The sequence below is a fragment of the Homo sapiens genome, chromosome 13 (assembly GCF_000001405.40).
Source record: "Homo sapiens chromosome 13, GRCh38.p14 Primary Assembly".
In the NCBI taxonomy this organism is placed as follows: domain Eukaryota; kingdom Metazoa; phylum Chordata; class Mammalia; order Primates; family Hominidae; genus Homo; species Homo sapiens.
The window spans coordinates 25,278,131-25,300,770 of NC_000013.11; the positions used below are offsets into that span (position 1 = coordinate 25,278,131).

At 40.7% G+C, this 22,640-nt stretch overlaps 1 protein-coding gene across 13 annotated transcripts in view, besides 4 other annotated features; it reads right to left on the reverse strand.

The window, feature by feature from the left end:
• MTMR6 (myotubularin related protein 6) overlaps window positions 1-9,358 on the reverse strand; it is a 41,267-nt gene extending 31,909 nt beyond the window's left edge. For all 13 annotated transcript variants that reach the window (NR_169592.1, NM_001385238.1, NM_001385231.1 and 10 more), the window contains exon 1: window positions 9,094-9,358. Coding sequence is in view for 11 of the 13 variants with exons in the window: in NM_001385231.1 (NP_001372160.1) it covers window positions 9,094-9,117 (24 nt within the window). In the remaining 2 variants the exon portion in view is untranslated. The remainder of the gene's footprint in view (window positions 1-9,093) is intronic.
• Window positions 8,738-9,358: an enhancer, noted in NCBI's record as "H3K27ac-H3K4me1 hESC enhancer chr13:25861006-25861626 (GRCh37/hg19 assembly coordinates)". NCBI's record gives its function as "activates a minimal SCP1, AML or CMV promoter by ChIP-STARR-seq in primed H9 embryonic stem cells {active_cell/tissue: H9 hESC(primed)}" and the evidence as "EXISTENCE:reporter gene assay evidence [ECO:0000049][PMID:30033119]".
• Window positions 8,738-9,401: a biological region, named in NCBI's record as "H3K27ac-H3K4me1 hESC enhancer GRCh37_chr13:25861006-25861626".
• Window positions 9,062-9,401: an enhancer, noted in NCBI's record as "active region_7483". NCBI's record gives its function as "activates an Ori minimal core promoter by ATAC-STARR-seq in GM12878 lymphoblastoid cells {active_cell/tissue: GM12878}" and the evidence as "EXISTENCE:reporter gene assay evidence [ECO:0000049][PMID:35858748]".
• Window positions 9,502-9,671: an enhancer, noted in NCBI's record as "active region_7484". NCBI's record gives its function as "activates an Ori minimal core promoter by ATAC-STARR-seq in GM12878 lymphoblastoid cells {active_cell/tissue: GM12878}" and the evidence as "EXISTENCE:reporter gene assay evidence [ECO:0000049][PMID:35858748]".

Genomic DNA, 22,640 nt, shown 5'->3' on the forward strand with positions numbered 1-22,640 from the left:
ACTGACATTTCTTCTAACTTTAACTCCAAATTAATTCCTCTGACTCTTAACACACATGAGGCTAGCTTCCTTCTCTACCTTTAGGCTCTTTTCCCAAATATTAACAGCCTCAGCTTATCTATTTCTCCCACATTTTAAAGGAGCTTATTACAACTTTGATCCTTTAAAATGCACAACTGCTACCGGGTGTGGTGGCTCACGCCTGTAATCTCAGCACTTTGGGAGGCAGAGGTAAGGCAATCACTTGAGCCCAAGAGTTTGAGACCAGCCTGGCCAACATGGCGAAACCCTGCTTTACTAAACATATAAAAATTAGCAGCCGGGCGCAGCTTGCAATCCCAGCACTTTGGGAGGCCAAGGAGGGTGGATCACCTCAGGTCAGGAGTTCGAAACCAGCCTGGCCAACATGGTGAAACCCTGTCTCTACTAAAAATACAAAAATTAGCTGGGCAGGCACCTGTAATCCCAGCTACTCGGGAGGCTGAGGCAGGAGAATCGCTTGAACCCAGGAGGTGGAGGTTGCAGTGAGCCGAAATTGCATCACTGCACTCCAGCCTGGGCACAAGAGCAAGACTCTGCAAAAAAAAAAAAAAAAAAAAAAAAAATCAGCTGGGCATCGTGGTGCACACCTGTAATCCCAGCTACTTAGGAGGCTGAGGCATGAGAATCACTTGAACCCTGGAGGCAGAGGTTGCACAGAGCAGAGGCTGAGTCATTGCACTCCAGCTTGAGTGACAGAGCGAGACTCTGTCATAAAATAAAATAAAACAGATGCACAACTCCATTACATGCACGCACACACTCAAACACACATACATCTTTGAAGAACATGTAGATAAATATATACTATCAGGAAAGAGTTTACTAATTCACTCAACAAAAATGTACTGGCTATCAACTAAGGGCCAATCTATCTGTATCTCATTTCTTTATCTCTAAAATAAGGACAATAATCTCTTTTCAGAAAGCTACTGAAAGGTTGGATAATAAATGTCAGGTACTGATATGGTTTGGCTCTGTGTCCCCGTCCAAATTTCATCTTGGATTGTAATCCCCATGTGTGCAGGAAGTGACCTGGTGGGAGGTGATTGGATCATGGGGGTGGTTTCCCCCATGCTGTTCTCTCTTCACAGTGAGTCCTCATGAGTTCTAATGGTTTTAAAGTGGGACACTTTCCCCCTTTGCTCTCTCTCTCTCCTGCCACCATGAGAAGACGTGTCTTGCTTCCCTTCACCTTCCACCAAGATTGTAAGTTTCCTGAGGCCTCTCCAGCCATGTGGAACTTGAGTCAATTAAACCTCTTTCCTCTATAAATTACCCAGTCTTGAGTTGTTCTTTATAGCAGTGTGAAAATGGACTAATACAGGTACTTTATTTGCCTAATAAATATAAGCAATAATATTTGTGCTCAAGTAAATATTTGCAAAACTACTGTAGTTAGTAATCTAGTCAAGTAGGTAGAGCCCTGACAGTCCTCTATGTCAAGCTACTATCCAGATAAGTTCAAATGGAGAAAGGAAGAAGGATGCGTATGGAGTTTAAAAGGCAAATTCCATATTTTAAGGTGCTCCATAGTTGGAAGAAACTACTGTAAATGATGAAAGCACAGATCAGCAAAATGTTCTTCACTAATGGGAATAGGGAAAATACAAAATTCTCAACAGAGGAAATATAACATTTATGTCTCAATAGCAGAGGTTTATCTGATGAAAAAAAAACCATATGTTAAGGTACAAAATCTGTGCTGTAGATTAAAAAAGATACAGAGGTTTTTAAGCACAGTAGTCCATTAGGAAATATGGCTTGTAAGATCATTCCAGTGTGAATGTGGAGAAAATGCTGAGTTGATTAAGGGCAACCAGGTAAGAAGCTAATGAAGCCATCTAAGTGACTGGCTGATATAATTAGGGCCTGGAGTAAGCTGTGACAGAGAGGAAGTCCATCTTGAGATAATAACAAAACTGATAACGGAAGGAAGAAAGGAGGAAAAACAGAGATTCCTTAAGGGTTTTAAGCTTGTCACACTGGTTGCCATTCACTAAGATAAAGTAGTACAGAGAAGAAAATGTCTGAAAGGAATGTCTTTAATATAACAAACTGAGGACTATCTTAGCATAAACCAACTTATATTCAAATCTATATAACAGAAAATCATTACATACAACTGCTTCAATGGGTAATCTCCATATGAATGTGACAGATAGTGAAATTAATCTGAAATCATTCCACAACATTTATTTAGTATTTACACTAAAGTTCTCAAGAAAATAAGAGAATTTCTGAGAAAATACACTGATTATTTTGCTCTTTGTGGCAAATCCCACCCCTCACCCCTAAGGAGGGGAAATCAAATGTTTTTCTTTGCTAAAATCATTGGCATACAAATTTCAAACCACAGACTTAGTCAACTTCTAAAAACCAACTGCTTCTTTATATTTCCCCCTTTCAGCAAGGAACTAAAAGTATTTTACAGATGTTGCTACAGATTTTCCCCAGTCTGTTCTTGGAAATGTATTAAGTCAGATGTTTAGGAAGCAACTACAATTCTTTCTGGTCACTAACACTGAAGTACTAAGAAACTATTAGGATCCTTAAATTATAGGTATCATCACAGCCAAAAAGTAAATGAAAAAAAAGAAAAAAAGACTTTGGGAAAAGAAAGAACAAACGAAAAACGAAAATGTGGCAAGGAGAAAGGAATTGGAAGATGTCGCTTTGGTGAGGAATGGTAAATGCCAACACACATTACTTTAAGGACTATTTAGTTGAATTGTTGCCAACTATGGGCCTGCACTAAAAGGTACCCTAATGGTCCAGGCAGAAAGTTCAAATTTCAGCCAATTATAAAATTAGAACTGGAAAACACAGAGAACCCCACACATACAGAATCACACTCAGAAAATGTTGGGGCCACTACAGGTGTAGTAGCTTACGCTTGTAATCCCAACACTTTGGGAGGCCAAGGCAGGAGGATTGCTTGAGACCAGGAGTCTGAGAACCAGTCTGAGCAACATAGTGACACCCTCATCTCTACAGAAAAAGAAAATTATTTTCTAATTAGCCAGGCATGGTGGCATGCTCCTGCAGACCCAGCTACTTGGGAGGTAAAGGCAGGAGGATCGTTTGAGCCCAGGAGGTAGAGGCTGCAATGAGTTATGATCATACCACTGCACTCCAGCCTAGGTGACAGAGCAAGATCTTGTTGGAAAGGAAAGGAGAAAGACAGGAGAAAGGACAAAGAAGAAAGGAGAAAGGAAAGGGGAAAGAGAAAAGAGGAAAGGAAAAGGAAGGAAAGGAAGAGAAAAGAAAAAAAAGAAGAAAAGATTCCAAATGAAAAACACAGGGAGTCACACAAACAGAATCACATTCAGAAAATTCAGACACCTCTTTATCCCTGAGGAAAAAGTGGCCTCTGGGACAGGAAGGGACCAATGGCCTTCTTCAGACTTCTGTGACCAACAGTTGTACTTATTCTACAACTACATAACAATAGACGCTGTGGCTACTGAAGCAGAAAGTGCACCATCACTGTTCCTCTGGCTTGTCGCACTCCTTCCCTATAGCCAGGCACTCATCTAGGACTCTCAGAATCATTTCACACTGACATCCTGCCAAGAATTAGCTTTCAAAAAGAAAGCACATCAAGTTGTGTGCAGGAAGTGGAGGGCAGAGATTATGGTTTCTGTTCATGTATCCCAATTTCTAGAACAGTGTCTGGCTGCATAAATTATCAAATGAAACAGTCATGGACCTCAAGAGGGGAGAGAGTAACCTCAGATCGTAAATCCAGTGGGCACTTTTCAGTTTTTTCTTACTTTGCTTATTCCATCAATGGCTTCCTATCTCACTCAAAAAAAGCAAAGATTTTACAGTGGCCTTCAAGACTACAGTAACTTGCCCCTGTCCCCCAACTTTAATCTTCTACTGTGCTCTTCTTCACTCACCCTGCTCTAGCTGTCTTGCTTGTTCTTAGCAACCAGGCATGCCCTCAAAGGGTTTTTGCCCCTGTTGTTCCCTTTGTTGGGACTCTCCCCGCCATCCCCCATGTGGGGATGGCTTACTCCCTCACCAGTTTCAGGTTTATACTCAAGAGTCACCTTCTCTGTAAGAGCTTCCCTAACCACTCAATTTATAGCAGTCCTCCCTTAAACCCCCTCCTCAACCCTCATACTCTTCAGAGCCCTGGCTTGCTTTATTTTTATCCACAGCATTTACCACCATCTAACATACAATACATTGAACTTAATTTTGTTTATTGTTACCTCTTCTCCAACTAGATAAGTTATAAGGGCAGGAGTTTTTGTCTGAACCTAGAACAGTGCCTGGCCCAAGGAGGAGGAAGCAGCCAGAGGATGGAGCAGAGAAGGAAATTAGAACACGGAAGACTGTCACCTTCCCATCTGTGCTTCACCTCTTCCAAATGCATCCGGCTTCTCCTCCTCTGCTTGCTCGCCCTCTTCTTTTTTCTTTTTTCTTTTTTCTTTTTTTTTTTTTGAGACAGAGTGCTGCTCTGTGACCCAGGCTGGATGCCGTGGCACGATCTCGGCTCACTGCAATCTCCATCTTCTGGGTTCAAGTGATTATCATGCCTCAGCCACCCAAGTAGCTGGGATTACAGGTGCCCGCCACCATGCCCAGCTAATTTTTTGTATTTTTAGTAAGACAGGGTTTCACCATGTTGGCCAGGCTGGTTTCAAACTCCTGACCTCAAGTGATCCTACTGCCTCGACCTCCCAAAGTGCTAGGATTACAGGTGTGAACCACCATGCCCGGCCTGCTTGTCCCTTTTTAAGTGTTTAGACTTTTCTCCACAGAGTCTCAACATATTCTCCTTGCATAAACTCATTCACAATAGAAATTTCAATGATTTACCTAAACACAAACAACTCCCTCCCAAATCTACTCAAGGCCAGACCTTTTCCCTCACACTAGATCCTCACATTCAGCTAGCTACTAGAAAAAAATCTGACCACCTAAGCTTCTTCTATCCACCCCTCCTCTCTGTTCTTACTCACACTGCCCCAACTGACTAATCAAATCTCTTGATTAGATTATTATTCTGTGAGGCAAGAGAGTGTGGTTAAGAGAATAGGCTTGCTATCAGAAAGACCTACATTCAAGTTCCCACCTCCACCTCTTCTTTGGTAGAACTAACTGTGTGAGCCAGGACAAGTTATTTTATTAATTCTCTCAGGGTTTCAGTTTCCTCACCTGTAAAATGGGATAGTATTAGTGAAAATCAAAACAACACTTTACTTGGAAAAAAGCATTCAGGTGCTCCTCAAAACCTATTGGCTTTTATTTCAAAGACAATTTAAATAATATCAGTTTCTCCTTATTCTTGATCCATTCTTATTTTTATATCTCCTTTCTTCTTTCAGAGGGAAGGTATATTTGTATACATACATAGATGATCTCACATTCTAATGACAAAAAGAGGGAGCAAGCTAAAGAACATGTTAGGCATAACTTTTGGAATAACTCAATTTGGGCCTTAGTAGGATCAGATTTTTATGGGACATTCCATTTGATTACAAACGCTAGCAATCAGCCTTTCATTTATAGCTTAAAAAAGGTTCTTCCATTCCATTCAGTAAAGTTCCATTCACAGGTAAGACAATATCATTTGACATCAATATATAATGTCAGCCAAAGTACTGGCAGGGAAAGGAGAAAGACTGCATAAAGAACTGTCTCTGCATATTTCTCATTGTTTCTTGGCAGGACTATGTCATTATGGCAAAATGAGAGCTCAAAGCGATAGGTAGTAGCTGCATGATTCATAAGTGTAGCTTGGAAATGCTCTTTCAGAAATCCAGATTCAGGGACTTGGCATCTTTGATGCTATACAGTTAGTAAACCAAATGTGACCAAAACAGAATGATAAATATGTTCATTAGTATTCAGCTAAAATACTTAATCTGATAAATCTCTGGTTAGCAAGCAATAATGATCCTAAATATTATTTAAAAACAATACCGCATAAATATTATTTATTTATGACAAAAAGAGGTTTGGGGGGGAAGCTCTTAGAATTATCATCAGCATTTATTTCTGAATTAATACTAATGCACATTTAACAATTAGATTAAAACTAGAGAGGCACTGGAAAGAGCATACATAGTCTTTGGAGTTAAACACACCTTAGTTTAAATACTAATTCTATCTCTTGTGAACTAATTGAGCAGGTTACTTAAATTCTCTAAGCCTATTTCCTCCTCACCTATAAATGGAGATAATACTACCCAACTGACAGGGTTATTTAAGAGATCAGTGATGATAATGTATAAATTAACAGATTTATACAATTGTACATATTATAAAGTAATAATATTGTATAATTGGCTATATTGACATATAGTTGCTCAATAAATGGTAATTATTACTTTTCAAATAGAGCTGACTGAACAACAAAAATCACTAAATAGTCATAAAGGACACTCTACGGTCAATTTTGATCCTAATGACTAAACTACATAGAGGTCAAAACAGCTAATAAATCTAAAACAATCCACTTTTGCTTTTTAAATACTTACACTTATTTTTGCAGCAAACTAACTAAATCCAGGTGAAGGCTATGCATAATGGAAACAAAAGTTTGGCTATGTTCAAACCAATCTTTTAAAAGTAAGTTATTTCCCAATACATTAATAATTTAAGAACATGTTACAGTCCCCACAACAATTAACAGAATGTACCCTGAGGTCCACCTCTATCTTGCTGTTATATACCCAGTGTCAATACAGTGTCTGGCACATACTAGGTACCTAGAAAATATTTATTTGCGGTCTACATACACTCACTTAATATTACTCCAGAGTAGTGATCCAATACTAGAAAAACAACCCAAAGTAATAAAGGAGCATATTTGAAAAGTAGTTTTAATAGACAATTCATCAGAAATTTCTTAGTCTCTAAAAAGGCCTTATTAAACCACTAGCATGAGACCACTGTGTAAAGATAAGTCAAAATCAGAGCATTACTTGAAGAAAAGTTCATCAGTTGGTAGATAAGGAGGAATATCAGACAAAATGAAAGTCACCAGTGACAACTTTCAAAGAGCTAATAAGAGGGGCTACAACTCTACAAATAAAAACAAAGATATATATTCATAATAAATTGAATGAGGAAAGATTTAAAATAACCAAGGGATCCTAAATATTTTCCAAGTCTGTTCACTCTTATCATCCACCTAAGAATAGGATTTGCTCTAGTTGATCAGATTCAGTTTACTTTTACTGATTTTTTATTCTTTTCCGCCCCCCCCCCCCCAATTATGTCACCCAGGCTGGAGGGCAATGGCGCAATCTTGGCTCACTGCAACCTCCACTTCGTGGGCTCAAGCCATCCTCCCATCTCAGCCTCCCGAGTAGCTGGGACTACAGGTACATACCACCCCACCCGGCTTTCTTTTTTTTTTTTGAGACTGAGTCCCGCTCTATTGCCCAGGCTGGAGTGCACTGGTGCCATCTTGGCTCACTGCAATCTCCACTTCCCCGGTTGAAGCAATTCTCCTGCCTCAGCCTCTGAGTAGCTGGGATTACAGGCGCCTGCCACCATGCCCGGCTAATTTTTGTATTTTTAGTAGATATGGGGTTTTGCCAGGTTGTCCAGGCTGGTCTCGAACTCCTTACCTCAAGTGATCCGCCCACCTCGGCCTCCCACAGTGCTGGGATTACAGGCGTGAGCCACCGTGCCCAGCCTTTTACCGGTTTTCGATTGTGTGCTATGCACCGTAGAAAGCATATGAAAAATAGAGGAGCTTCGAACTGATGCAGAAGGAAGTCACGTGCACTTAGCTACTACATAATACATATCTGGAACCAATACAAGAACCTGATCCAATGTCCACTCTAGTCCTCTTTTCCTCTGTGCACCTTCTACGAGTTTGGTTATAGACTTAAGCACCCTTCCATTTTCAAAATTTAAGTACCCACAACTTGAATTCTCAAGTTATTTTATCTTTCTTCTCTTAAAAAAAAATGTTAAGGGGTTAGTTTTCAGAATCTTCAATTTTACTAGATACGGTATGCACAATGTTAAAGACAAGCTCCAATAAAAATTTATGTATACCTTTAAAAGGTTTGTGAAACATTTAAAAAATTTTTAAAAACACAAATTCTTCTTGGAACAATGAAGATAACGAACATCTGTGGTTCCCTAAATGAGCCGTAATTTTAAGATGGGCAGCAACTAAAGGGCTTCAGCTTTGCCAAAACGTCAAGAGGCTGCCTTGCAGTGGGCTCGCAGTGATTTTAAAATGTTATTCTTCTCGTCTCGATTTATGTTTTTCTCCCTCTCAAAGTTAAACTTAAATGTCGTTGGAAACGTAATTTGGTAACATTCTGATGTCATTTCCTTCCGTTTTTAAATTTGTAACGAAATAAAAATATTTGTTCGTTCTCAAAATGAAGGTCTTCCACACACAAAAATTAAGCATGGAGTGCAATAAGGTCAATCGAATAAAGCTGCATCCGACCTTTTAAAATATGGAATAACATTTTTCCCTTCTCCAGAACTCTTGACTACTGACACAGGACAATGCCTGAAGTATGAAGCACAGACACGGAAACACCGGATGCGAAAGACTGGAGACCGAGACAGCAAAGGGAGGTGGAGCGGAGTGCTGATCTCGGTTCCTCCAAAACTCGTACTGTGAATCTGTGACACGGGACAATGAAATGTGAGCAAGGACAAGCTTACACAGCATCATAATGTTAATTTGAAGACGGTTTTCCGGTTGATGAGGCAACGAAAGGCTGAAAGACTCCAAAGTTAAAGGAGCCCCAATTTTGCCCGAGAAAACGTAGAGCTAGGAGGGCGGTGACCAGTTTTCCCAGACTTATCTCTACGCACTCCAAGATGCTGAAAGTGGGACCCCTGCTCCTGTAGGTACAGGAGGCCTCTGCACCCCGCTTGGCCCAAGCTAACCCTGCCCTCCCAGACCAGGCCTGGCCAGACCCTCCCGCCCCGGGCCGGGTCTCCGCCGGGCCGGCTCCCAGCCCCAGTCAGGCCAGCAGAGCCTTCGTCTCCTCCTGCCTCAGCCGGGTCAGAGCAGGGCCCCTGAAGACTGGCGATCCCGCGCCCGACTACCTTGGTCGTCCGGATATGCTCCATCGCAAGGAGACGTCAGCCGGCAGCCGGTCTCACAGGCGTACCATACGGCTACAGAAACAGGGCGGTGACAGCGACAGAGAGCAAGCGGGAACTCCCTCCACCAGCCAGCGCCGCGGGTCTGTCTGCCGGCCCCGGTGGCGTCAACGGCGCAGGTGCAGCCGGTGAGCGCCGTCTCCTAGAAACACTTCCCCAAACCCCGCGGCCTCCCGGGGGACTCGGGGCAGGCAGACAGAGCGTGTGTGGACCGAGAGCGGCTTGCTGGTTCGTCCCGGACAGCGGCGGATCCCACAGCGCCCCCTGCTGGAGGAGGCCGGTACTGCTCACCACCCCACCCGAGGCGGTCTTTGTCATCCCGCCGAGCGGACGCGCGGGGCGGTCGGGGAGGAAGACTGCGTGAGAATGGATCCCGAGTAAAGGGTTCTTGTGGGGTGAGGGCAAGAGTGGAGGATGTTCTGAAGTCCATCGCCATACCACTGGACAGCACCAAATTTAGTTTGAGCTGCAGTTCTACTCATAAGAATGTATTCTAAGGAAATAATCAGATTTGGAGTTATTATTCTAAGGAAATAACCAAATAAGGAAACCAGCCTTATTTGAAACAATCAACTCTCCAATCCTACGGATTCCTTATGTAAAGTATGATGATTAGCTAGTCCTCAATCTGGTCTGGTGTCAGAGTCCCGCCTCCTACCTCAATTTCATACGATGTTAGCACCAGCATCCATTAAAACTCATCCTGTAGAGGGATATCACATAACGAAAATGTTAATGCTGCATTACTGAGTGAAGAAAAAACTGACTATGGAACAATAAGTTCAATGTAGCCGTGCTCTGTAATTTTTATTTATGTAAACAAAAAGTTTACATTTCTAGGTGAGGGTTACAGGTAATTTTTGTTAGAACACGTCTAATGTGGTACTTCTCAGCCTGGAGTGAGTTTTCTCCCCGGGGGACATTTGGTAACATCTGGAGATATTTTTGGTTGTCTCAAATGGTGGTGGTGGGGGGGTGGCGGCGGGGGGCAACTGGTGGGTGGAGGCCAAGTCACAAGTCGGCTGCTGAACACCCTACTAGGCACCAGACCAACCCCCCAACTACAGGGAATTATCCGGCAGATGACAACAGTGCAGAGGTTGAGAAACCCTGCTCTATGCCAGGCGCGGTGGTTCACGCCTGTAATCCCAGAACTTTGGGAGGCTGAGGCGGGCGGATCACTTGAGGTCAGGAGTTAGAGTCCGAGAAACTCTGCTCTACGTTTTGTAAGTATTCTGTACTAAGCCGGTTAAGGTTTGTAATCTTCATCTTTCATACTGTGATTGGTGTTAGAAAAGCCTAACATCTAAATTTTCTTTTATAATTAAAAATTTTGTTTCACTTATTTGTTTCATTTTGTTCAAGTTGTCTTGGTTTGTTTTGTTTTGAGTGCCTACGATGTTTCAGACAGATTGCCAAAGCAATGGAGATGGTTATTAAACACAACAGCCTTTGCGGTGGAGTTGCTGACTCCTCTAAGCTAAATATGTAATAAGAGTTACATTAAACCACCTAGAAACCAACCTTAGTACAGTATCACATCCACCCCCTCCCCCCGAAAAAAAACCCCACAAATCCTGCTCAGAAAAAAAAAAAAATATATATATATATATATATACACATATATATATATATATATATACATATATATATATATACACATATATATATATATAGAGAGAGAGAAAAGTAATGTAGGTCTTTACTGAGGATTGCTTTTTGAGAAAACAGAAAGAGGTGAATTGTATAGCATACAGCAAGACTTTCTTAACAAAACTTTTTATATCATTTTCCTCCCAATTTACAACTTCCTCCTTCCCCATTCCCCTACAGATTATCCTCCCTCTTCTCATCTCCTCACTTCCTGTGTCCTCTCTTTACCAATTCTCACAGAGAGGCAATCATAATGATGTCAGGTGACCAAATGTACTGAGTGCTTTACGGGTATTCTGAGGAAAATGCTATTGCTTTCTTTATTTTAGAGATGAGACAAGCGAGACACAATGAAGTGAAGTAACTTGCCCAATATCACATAGCAGATAAAGCCAAGATCCATGTTATAAAGCCAGACAGGCTGACTTCAGAGTCTGTATTCTTAACAACTGTTTTACATTGATTTGCTTCTCAAAATCCATATTAAAGTTCTATTTATGTTAATATGATAGGCTAGAAAATTACCTAGCTTTACAGAAAGAAAGTAAAATAACAGATAAAATATTAAATGACGTTTCTTTGACTCTTGAGTTGAATACTCTTGCACTAGATAGAATATTCCTTATGGTTAAATCTGGCAATCACTCAGTTCCATTATCTTTCCTCGAGACATCTCTTTAGAGGTCTCCAGATGCTTCTAGGAGCCTTTTCTCCTTTTGCTCCAGTTTGCACTTGTGTTCTCTGAGCCTACTGAATGGATATTATCCTGGGACTCTCCTCACCATGGGCCTGAGAAATGTGTTGGTTACTTGTGCTGAATTTTTAGATCCTGTGGTTTATCTTTCTTGATTTACTTACTTGCATTGTTTTATTCTGATGTAGTATATTCTGTATTAACTTCCTGAGAAAGGGTGAATGGAGCATAAATCCTTGACGGGAAGTTTGGCTAGGTCTAGAATTCTGTAATTTTAATTAGGATTTTGAAAGCTCCCAGAGACATATCCTGACTTTCAATGCAGTTGTTCAGAAATCCGCTGGCATTCCGATTTCCCTTTAGGTGTCGCTTCTACTTTCTCAGGATGCTTTTTGGATCTCTTTATCTCCAATGGTCTAAAATTTCAACATAATAAAACTTAGCTTTCTTGTTTATTTTTCTGCCCAGTGTTTTGAGCTCTGTAATCTGAAAACATAAGTCCTTCAATTCTGGGACATTTTCTTGTATTATTTCTGTAATAATTACTGTTTCGTTCTTTTTCCTTCTTCCTTTTTCTTTTTTCCCTTTAAAAATTTTTTTTATTCTTCTCACCTCTCTTCTCTCCCTCATCTTTCTTCTTTCCTATTTCCCTCCTGTCCTTTCTCCTTTCTTTTTATTTTGTTTTATTTTTATTTATTTATTTTTGAGACAGGGTCTCACTGTGTCACTGAGGTTGGAGTGCAGTGGCACAATCTCAGCTCACTACAGCCTCAACCCCTCAGGTTCAAGCAATCTTCCCACCTCAACCTCCTGAGTAACTGGGACTACAGGCGTGCACCACCAAGCCTGACTAATTTTTGTATTTTTTGTAGAGACGGGTTTTTTCCATGTTGCCCATGCTGGTCTCAAACTCTCGGGCTCAAGTGATCTGCCTGCCTCAGCCTCCCAAAGTGCTGGAATTACAGATGTGAGCCACTGTGCCCAGCCCCTTTCTTTTTTCAGTAGAAATTCCTGGTCTGACTTCCTAATTTTACTATTCTTTCACTCCTATTTTTTAAGAATTTACCTTTCTAATCTACTCTCTAGGAAATTCTTAATACTTCATTGTTTCTAATATTTTTAGAATACTCCATTATTTCTAATATTTTTAATTGCTGCAATTATATATATGTACATGTGTGTATGTATGTGTATGTATATATATATACACACATATACATGCACATACATATATAATTGTAGACAAACCTTGTGCTCAGATCTTGGATTCTTCTTTTTCTTCCTTTTTTGTCTACTGAGCACAAGGTTTGCCTCCCAAAGTGCTGGGATTACAGGCATGAGCCACTGTGCCTGGCTTATATTTTTAATTTCTAAGTGTTTTCACTTTAAATAGACTTTATTTTTATTTATTTATTTATTTTTTAGAGATGAGGTCTCGCTATATTGCCCAGGCTGGAGTGCAGTGGCTGTTCATAGGTGTGATCATAGTGCACTACAGCCTCAAACTCCTGGGCTCAAGCAACCTTCCTGTCTCAGCCTTCTGAGTAGCTGGGAATACAGGTATGCTATACCACAAGATGCTCCAGGCTCATCTTGCATCTTTCCCACCCCAGCCCTAGAATCATCCATTTCCCCAAGGAGCCCTGGTTCCTTTTATTGGAAAATGTTATTAGAATCCAAGATCTGTTCTGAACCCAAGATGACCTAACTGGAAAAAAAAAGAATCCAAAATCTGAGCACAAGGTTTGTCTACTAGAATGTTATTGTTTCTAAGTGAAGAGATCTTTTTGGTTACATACATTTTCCTATTTTTCTTTGTTTTTCAGTTTGTTCATTTATTTGTTTTCTAGCCTCCTGCTCTGATACATGTAAGAGCTCATCTCTCCTAGGTGAATAATAGTTTTCATTTATTTATGTATTTCTTGTAATTTTTGCTTCCTGAACCCTATTCCTTTTAGGTTCTCTCTACGTTTGCTGTTTTGGTCTCTGACTTTGATGTCAGAAGCGATCCTCCAATATCTAATCATCTTTAATGGTCCTTTCCAGCAATAAAATGCTGATTGGAAACTTACTCTTTATAGGAGAATTTGCCTATTGTTAAGCTTCATTATTGAATGATGGGGTAGGGGCTTGGTACTTTTGTTGGGGGTCCCTACATCATTATTTGAAGACCCTGTGCATGTGAAAGGCACAGGGAGCTCTGGGAACAGATGTCCTGTTAGCAGCAGTAGCTGAGTAGAAGCCCCAGTCAGGTACCATATATAGGATCCAGATGATCCAGGCCATCTGCCTCTCTGTTGCCAGCTCTCCCCTTGGTGATTACTGCAAGGAACAAAGAGACCCATTTCCCCTCAATACAAGGGGTGGGAAATGAAGAGACATTGGAAAGAGAAGAGGTTCATTCACTAATATTTGTTTTATTGTTAGTAATATTTATAAAGCACACGATCCAGTTTCAGAGGATTCAATATGCACCTGTGTTCCTACATTCCTATCCTTCCCTTTAAAAATGTTGACATACAATAAAATTCATCAGATTAAGCATTTTCTGCTGCCTGATCTCATCAATTATGCCAAGAGCACACTTAATACTGTTACAATTCAATTGAGTAGTCCACTGCAACTTACAAACTAATCTGAAGGAAGATAATCAGGAAGAGACTTGTTTTTAGGGTTAGTTAGACTGGTGAATATCAAAATACCAGTGTAATCATTGACCACAAGAAAGCAGATGGGAATGAAAGTCAGCATGTTCTCTTCCTATAAAGCGTGGGGGGAGGTCACATTACAGTTGAGAAGATTGCTTAGTTAGCATGAATTCAGAGCAGGGGAAACTAGCTGCATGATAGGAGAGGCTGTTGCCATTCAGCAAAGATCTTGATGCATCAGCCAGCCTATCAGGATGTACCAACCACAAGAAAAGGCAGGAGGGGCTCTGGGCCAGGCAAGCCTCTGGAGGCAGCCCTGAAGATTCATTATTTGAGGGAAATATTAGATTTCCCTAAACTAGGCCTCATTATTGAACAATCCTCCCTCTAAGGGCCCTATTCTGCCTTTAGATATGCCATTTCATCTGCTAGGTTCATATCAAGATGTGGTATAGAAGCTATGCTGTCTTTTTAAGGAGACATATCTGTAACTTAATTAATTTTGTTTTAATGTATATATTTATAATTTCCTTTATCATCCAACTTCTAGGAGACATCAGGTTTTTTCTTACATGTGCCTACAAAAACAACTTAAAATAGTGACATGACTAATATTTGATGATTTTAAGAAAATATCATTTTCTTAATTGACTTTGCAATTAAAGACGGAGTTTTTTTGCACAAAAAATTGAAAGTTAAAATTCACAAAAAGCATGAAAGAAACTACTATTACGGTTTGAAATAATGAGGAATCAGATTTTTTTTTTTTTTGAGACAGAGTCTCACTCTGTTGCCCAGGCTGGAGTGCAGTGGCGCCATCTCAGCTCACCGTAAGCTCTGCCCCCTGGGTTCAAGCCTCAGTCTCCTGAGTAGCTGGGACTACAGGTGTGCGTTACCACACCCAACTAATTTTGTATTTTTTAGTGGAGACGGGGTATCGCCATGTTGGCCGGGCTGGTCTCGTACTCCTGTACTCAAGTGATCTGCCCACCTCGGCCTCCCAAAGTGCTAGGATTACAGGCATGAGCCACCATGTAATCAGAGTTTTCTGCATTTGTTTCTCTGTAATGTTTAATGCTTATTTTTACACCACTAAAAAAAAAATGAAAAGTGCCCCTATAAAAGGCACAAGAGATATTTGATATTTTTATTATTATGTAAGAAAATATTTTACATTTAACAATAAAATATTGGTGCTTTTTTTGGGGGGGAGGCTTAAACAACAGAAATTTATTGTCTTGCATTTTTTTTTTTTTTTCTTTAAGTTCTGGGATACATGTGCAGAATGTGCAGGTTTGTTACATATGTATTAATGTGGCATGGTGATTCGCTGTACCTATCAACTCATCATCTAGGTTGTTTTGTTGTTGTTGTTGTTGTTGTTGTTTTGAGATGGAGTCTTGCTCTGTCGCCCAGGCTGGAATGCAGTGCATGATGATCTCGACTCACTGCAACCTCTGCCCCCTGGGTTCAATCGATTCTCCTGCCTCAGCCTCCTGAGTAGCTGGGACTACAGGCACGTGCCACCACGCCCAGCTAATTTTTTGTATTTTTAGTAGAGATGGGGTTTCACCTTGTTAGCCAGGATGGTCTCGATCTCCTGACCTCGTGACCCGCCGGCCTCCGCCTCCCAAAGTGCTGGGATTATAGGCGTGAGCCACCGCACCCTGCCGGCCCATCTAGATTTTAAGCCTTGCATGCATTAGGTATTTGTCCTAATGCTCTCCCTCCCCTTGCCCCCTAACCCCTGAAAGGCCCCAGTGTATGATGTTCCCCTCCCTGTGTCCATGTGTTCTCATTGTTCAACTCCCACTTATGAGTGAGAACATGCGGTGTTTGTTTTGCGGCTCCTGTGTGTTTGCTGAGAATGATGGCTTCCAGCTTCATTCATGTCCCTGCAAAGGACATGAACTCATTCTTTTTATGGCTGCATAGTATTCCATGGTGTATATGTGCCACATTTTCTTTATCCAGTCTATCACTGATGGGCATTTGGGTTGGTTCCAAGTCTTTTGCTATTGTAAATAGTGGATGCTTTTATAATTATGTTTACTGTTTACCAGCGAATGGAATATTATAAAAGCAATCACAATTCCTAATCTTGGTGCTTCTTAAGTAAGCATAAATCGTTAAAAGAGCAAAAATATTTCACTTGATTTCGTTTCTTGGCTTTTATTTCTAGGAGTTTTATGGAAGAAGGTGAAGTCTATGATTAGAATTCTCTGTGAAATCAAAGATATCTGAATTCAGATCTCATTTCTGCCACTTTCTAGCTGTGAATTTAGTCAAATTATTTAACTTCTCTAACTCTTGATGTCCTTATCTGTAAATAGTGGTACTTATCATTATGTTATCCATTGAGTTATTTGTACAGGTTAATGAAATAATGAACAGAAGTACTTAGCATAGTAGCTGGCCTCGATAAGTGCTCAATAGCTGGATATAGCAGCCTTTGCCTATAGTCCCAGCTACTCAGGAGGCTAAGGCAGGAGCAATCAGAGCTCACTCAGCTCACTTGAGCCCAGCAGTTCGAGGCTGCAGTGAGCTATGATTGCACTATTGCACTCCAGCCTAGGTGACAGAGGAAGACCCCCATCTCTAAAAATAATAATAATAAATAAATGCTCAATAAATAATAGTTGTGTGTATGTACATGTTAAGCAGAATAAATCCTAGAGTTCCCAGAAATATCTAGATACCTGTCGATCCTCATTCTAGATCTTCACCATGGAGTTCAGAAATGTGCTTGGATCAGGCTGTGTTCATTTGGGGAGACTGAACTTGTCTCAGGATGAAATTTGTCTGAATGCACTGTATACTGTATTCAAGTGATCACATTATGTACTCTGCACCTCTGCAATTGAGGAGGTACACCTGGCCCAAGGAAGTGCACATGTCCAGGTTATACTCATGCTGGGCTGGAGGAAGACATACTAGTATTATGTTTCCATAAGGTTGGTGTGATGCTTACTCTTTCAGGATCTAGGGGTTCAGAGACTGGCTCCTCATTCTGTCTTTAAAAAGGTTACTAGCCATTTTTTTTTCTAAGTGTCCTTCTCTCTAAATCCTTTAGATAAGTAAACCTTGATGATTTAGCCAAGTGGTATCTGAGTCTGGGTTTTTGCACTTGCTATTGACATTGGCCGACACAGTGGTTAGTCATGCTCTAGTCTACATGACCACTTTATTGAACACTGGGTTCTGTGGGGTGCGAGCAGACAGTATCTTTCTTTTGCTCCACCGCTACCCTTCAAGCCTGCTTTGCTGGCTGTCTCTTCACCTCTCCTCAATAGGAGCTTGAGTTGATCCTGGAGAAGTACCTGTTTCTCTCATATTTTAGAGTAATCTGACATATATACTTCAAAATGTATCCAGTTCAAAGCTTCTCCTTTTCCCTATACCACCCAGGTTTGATGACAGTGGGATGGAGGTGGGACGGGGTAGGAGAATCTGTTTTGACCGTCTTGGCCCACTTTCTTCCTGCTTGCTTTCTAGCTCCTGTTTTGGCTCCCCGAGCATCAGGTCTTACTTGACAAAACCTTTTATAATCTGGCATCACTGATTTGTGTGCAGCAGATGCCTGAATGCCTCCTCTTTCTCCCTTGGGCAACTCAGTCAATTACTTAACCCTTCATCCAACCTCTGGGGCTTGCAGAATGCCTTAATTCCCTGAAGTAGGTGCAGCTCTCTCTAGTTCATTTCTTACAAGCTGACTCTTGGTTTCTGATATACACAAAGCTTGGCTACTCCTGTTTTTCTGGATTCCCTTGAAACTTGTCTGTGTCTATACAATAACTCTGTGTTCCCACACCTCCCCCATATATGCACACACTTATGCTTGAACTACCTTGAGAGAGTTCCTATTCTTAGCAATAAAAGAGGTCTAATTAGATTATGGGGAAACTGCTCAGAGCAAAGGGAATTGGGCAGGCTTAAGGAACTTTTATCCATGACATGGAAAAGACATGAATATACTCCTGCTTCATGGAGGTGGACATCTGTCTAGTGACCAGAATATGTGTATCCGTCAAGCACAATGACTTGTTTCCATGAAAGGTGAGAGCAATAAGTGCAGATATATTGTTCCTCTTTGGCTCCCATTTTTTTGAGACTACATGTTGACCACTGCCTTTCTGTTGGCGTGTTTCAAGGCAATTACATAATAGGTTGTTGGTGGCATTTTTATTGTTATATTCCAGCCCTATATATATTATTGACTTCTGTCAATCTTGGATATTTCCTAGGTTTCCTCAGTAACGCATGTAAAATTCATCTTTTGGGGTGAACTCCTACTAAAAAGGTATATTACATTTAGTTATGAATAATAAAGATTCAGCTCTAATGGACTAAATAACATACAAATAGACTTTTCTCTCATTTAAAAGAAATCTGAAGGTAGGTAGTATAGGGCTGGTATGGTGCCTCTACAGTATACCATCACGACCTAAGCTCATACTATTTTTTTGTGATACCCTCCTTTGCATATGACTTCCATTCTTAAAGTCACTCATGGACCAAGATGGCTATTGGAGATCCAGCCATTGTGTCTAAGTTCCAGGTAGTAGGAAGAAAGGAGAAGAAAGTCAAAACAGATGTATGCCAGCTATCTGTCCCCAAGAAAATGAGTGATTCTGGAAGTCTCATCTCATGTTTCCTACCCACCTCTACCTATAGAGGAAGCTGGAGACATATAGTTGTTTATCTGGTTAGTTTGCCACTTTGGAGAAAACTGAGGTTTTAAGGAAGAAGGAAGGAAAGAATAAATATTGGTGGCCAGAAGACAGCGTCCATCATTTATCTTATGTTGACATTGCTTAGTTTCTCTTCTCAGCCTTCCTTATCCACTAAAGTTGTCAAGTCATAAAAGCAACTTTTTCAGGTCCCATCTCTGCCAATAGGAAGGGTGTATTTCAAAATAAATGACTATAGTTTGAATTACATACATTTAGCTTTATGGATAACTCCTTACATTTATTTTTCTCATTTATTGGGTGATGAGTGAAAAAATTCATCAGGAAATAGACAATTACTGTTCTGACCTGTGATTGGGAACTTTTGTTTTAACTTTAAGCTTTTCCCCCTTAACTTTGTAGTTTGAAAATTTCAAACCTACAGAAAAGTTGTAAAATTATTACAATGAACACCCATATACCTTGTTTTGACAGTCATCCTATAATTTGCATTATTGATTTATCTCTCTATATACATTTGGTTGTTGCTGTTGTTCAATCACTTGAGAACTTAATGAATTTTTAAAGTGGAAGGACACTACTCAAATATTTAAAACCCTAAAATATTTAAGACCTTTTCTGAGAATAATTTTCAAGATAAAGACTGTGATTGAAGGCAAATGGTTACATGTAATTTCTAAAAGATAACCTCTTTTCTGGATATTTCAGAGGACCAGAACTGGAGATATTACAGACTCCTTTCAATAGACTTCAGATTCCCACTTCTTTTCTGTCTTAGAACCGCTGCTGAGAGAGGTTCTCAAATGGTTATCCTGATCTGAACACCCCCACCAAAGCAAACCTATTTTAGATATGTTAATGCAAACACAAATTAGAAGTTTTAGCCTGGGCAACACGGTGAAAACCCATCTTTACAAATAAACAAATTAGCCGGGCATGGTGGTGGACACCTTTATGTAGTCCGAGCTACTCGGGTGGCTGAGGTGGGAGGATCGCTTGAGCCAGACAGGCAGAGGTTGCAGTGAGCCAAGATGGTGCCACTGCACTCCAGCCTGGGCACAGAGCCAGACCCTGTCTCAAAAAGGAAGAAAAAAAAAAAGTAAATTTTTTACAGTGCTATTTCTGTTTGGATAATTCAGTTTGATTATGACATTAACAATGTCATCATCCTGCTGGCAAATCAGCAAAAGATGCAGTTCTCTAACAGAATGCTTACAATATAAGAAGCAAGGAAAGACAAGATGGCCTACTCTAGAATTTAGAATCTGAAGCACTTGCTTCATCCCTGGAAGCAGCAATTCACATAGAACTGACACATAGGTTCAAGTCCTCTAATGTTAAAAAGCGTAATATTTAGAAGATCCTTTGGGATAGGATTTGTTACTCTACCTAGACTAGGTCAGGAAGGTTAAGCCAGATTCCAGTGCTCCATGGTTCTGCTCAGTTGCAGATAGGATTCAGACTTATGTATGCGTAATGCTCAGTTACTGCTATTTTACTGTTTTCCATTCACTAACCAAACCATTGAGCTTATTGAAAGCTGCTTTCTTTGGAGTTTCATTTCTGTAGAATGTAAGGATGTAATTTCTTTCTTCACTAATAGGACAAGCGGCACAAGGTATATGAGATGAGAAGGGGTCTCCAAGATTTAGTCTTATACTTAGTGCATCTAGTGGTAGATTGCAATACTGCTCATCAGATATTCCAGATTTTGTCTCTGCAGTGCTCCTCCTTGAGTGATTTGGGGATTTATTATGTAGTATAACTTAAAATATTCTGCCAGATACAAGGCAAGAAATGCTACACTAAAATTTTGATAAAGTTGAAAGGATAGTTTGCTTGTTAATTGGAATGGCTTCCCCCAAAACCCAAACTTTAATCTAAGTCAGACTTCCTTTATTTCTTTTATAAACGTTCAGCTTCAAAACAGTTATAGATGTGGCTGGGCGCGGTGGCTTACGCCTGTAATCCCAGTACTTTGGGAGGCCGAGGCAGGCAGATCACAAGGTCAGGAGATTGAGATCATCCTGGCCAACATGGTGAAACTCCAGCTCTACTAAAAATACAAAAATTAGCTGGGCATGGTGGCGCATGCCTGTCATCTCAGCTACTTAGGAGGCTGAGGCAGGAGACTCGCTTGAACCAGGGAGTCGGAGGTTGCAGTGAGCCAGGATCTAGCCAGTGCACTCCAGCCTGGTGTCAGAGTGAGACTCCATCCAAAAAAAAAAAAAGTTACAGATTTACAGAATTATTACATAGTGTGCTCATATTCCTCACACCCAGTTTCCCCTATTAGGAAATTAGTCCCTATGATATTTTTACATGTTCTTTCTTTCCTGTGAATATTACAAGTCTTGTTCATTATTATATATTTAAGTGCCAGCCATTTTGCTATTACTAATTGTAGGTTGGTATTCTTCAATAGTTTTGGAAAGAATACACGAGAAAATCAAAAGACATAGGGAGTGCCTTTCTATCTTCCCATAAAAATCATCAGGATCTTTTTTTTTTTCAGTCAAAAGGAAGTCTCCTAGACTTTATGTGAACAATCCTCTTACTGACCACCCTATAGCCATCACTGAAAATAGCTTTCTCTATATCACCGAAGCTTTAAAACTCACAACAATCTTTTATTTTTGCCTCCTGTTCGATAACTATGAAGTTTTTATTTATATCTTAATCCAAATATATCCCTTTTTTCTTTTTTATCATTCCCATTATGACTTCTATGACGTTTAAAATGTTATGGCCGGGCACAGTGGCTTACGCCTGTAATCCCAGCACTTTGGGAGGCCGAGGTGGGCAGATCGCTTGAGGCCAGGAGTTCAAGACCAGCCTGGCCAACATGGTGAAAACCCATCTCTACTGAAAAATACAGAAATTAACCGGGCGTGGTGGCGTGCGCCTGTGATCCCAGTTACTTGGGAGGCTGAGGCAGGAGAATCGCTTGAACTCAGGAGACGGAGGTTGCAGTGAGCCGAGATGGCACCACTGTATTCCAGCCTGGGCAACAGAGCGAGACTCTGTCTCAAAATAAAGTAAAATATAAATTAAATTTAAAAAACAAAATAAAATGTACGTTTCTTTTTAATTATACAAACACAGAGGTGGTGTATTAGTCTGCTTGGCTGATACAACAAAATACCATAGACTGAGGTGGCTATAACAACAGACATTTACTTCTCTCAATTCTGGAGGCTAAGTCCCAGATAAAGATGGGGCAGTTTGGGTTCCAGGTGAAAGCCCCTTCTTGCTCTGTCCTCACATGGCACACAGAGGAGAACAAGCTCTTCGTTGTTTTTTCTCATAAGGGCACTAATCTCGCCATGGGCGACCCACCAAGGTGACCTCATCTAAATTGAATTACCTCCCAAAGGCTCCATCTCCAAATACCAACATATTGGGGTGGGGTAGGGCTTTAACATATGGATTGGGGGAGGAGGGAAATAGTTCAGTCCACAGCTGGTGGCAATGCCCAAGCTCAACGGAAGATTAAAGTACTGAATTAGGGAGAACTGTGAGATGAGGTTAGAAAGACTAATCATACGGAGGTCATCAAGTGCCAAACTAAAGAGCCACTGGGCTTTTTAGATCATAAATCCGGGGGTTGCTTATGGGATGGATTTTGTTAGAGATCACGAGTAGGAAAACCATTTGGGGGAGTAATGTAACAATCCCTGAGGGAAAAATAAAAACTAACACTATGATGACAACCCTCGAATGCACCACCACCAGGAAGCCTTTCCTGATGCTTCGCCAGAGAGGTTCTCTTTAAACGCGAATTTTTCTTGAGTTATCCTAGAA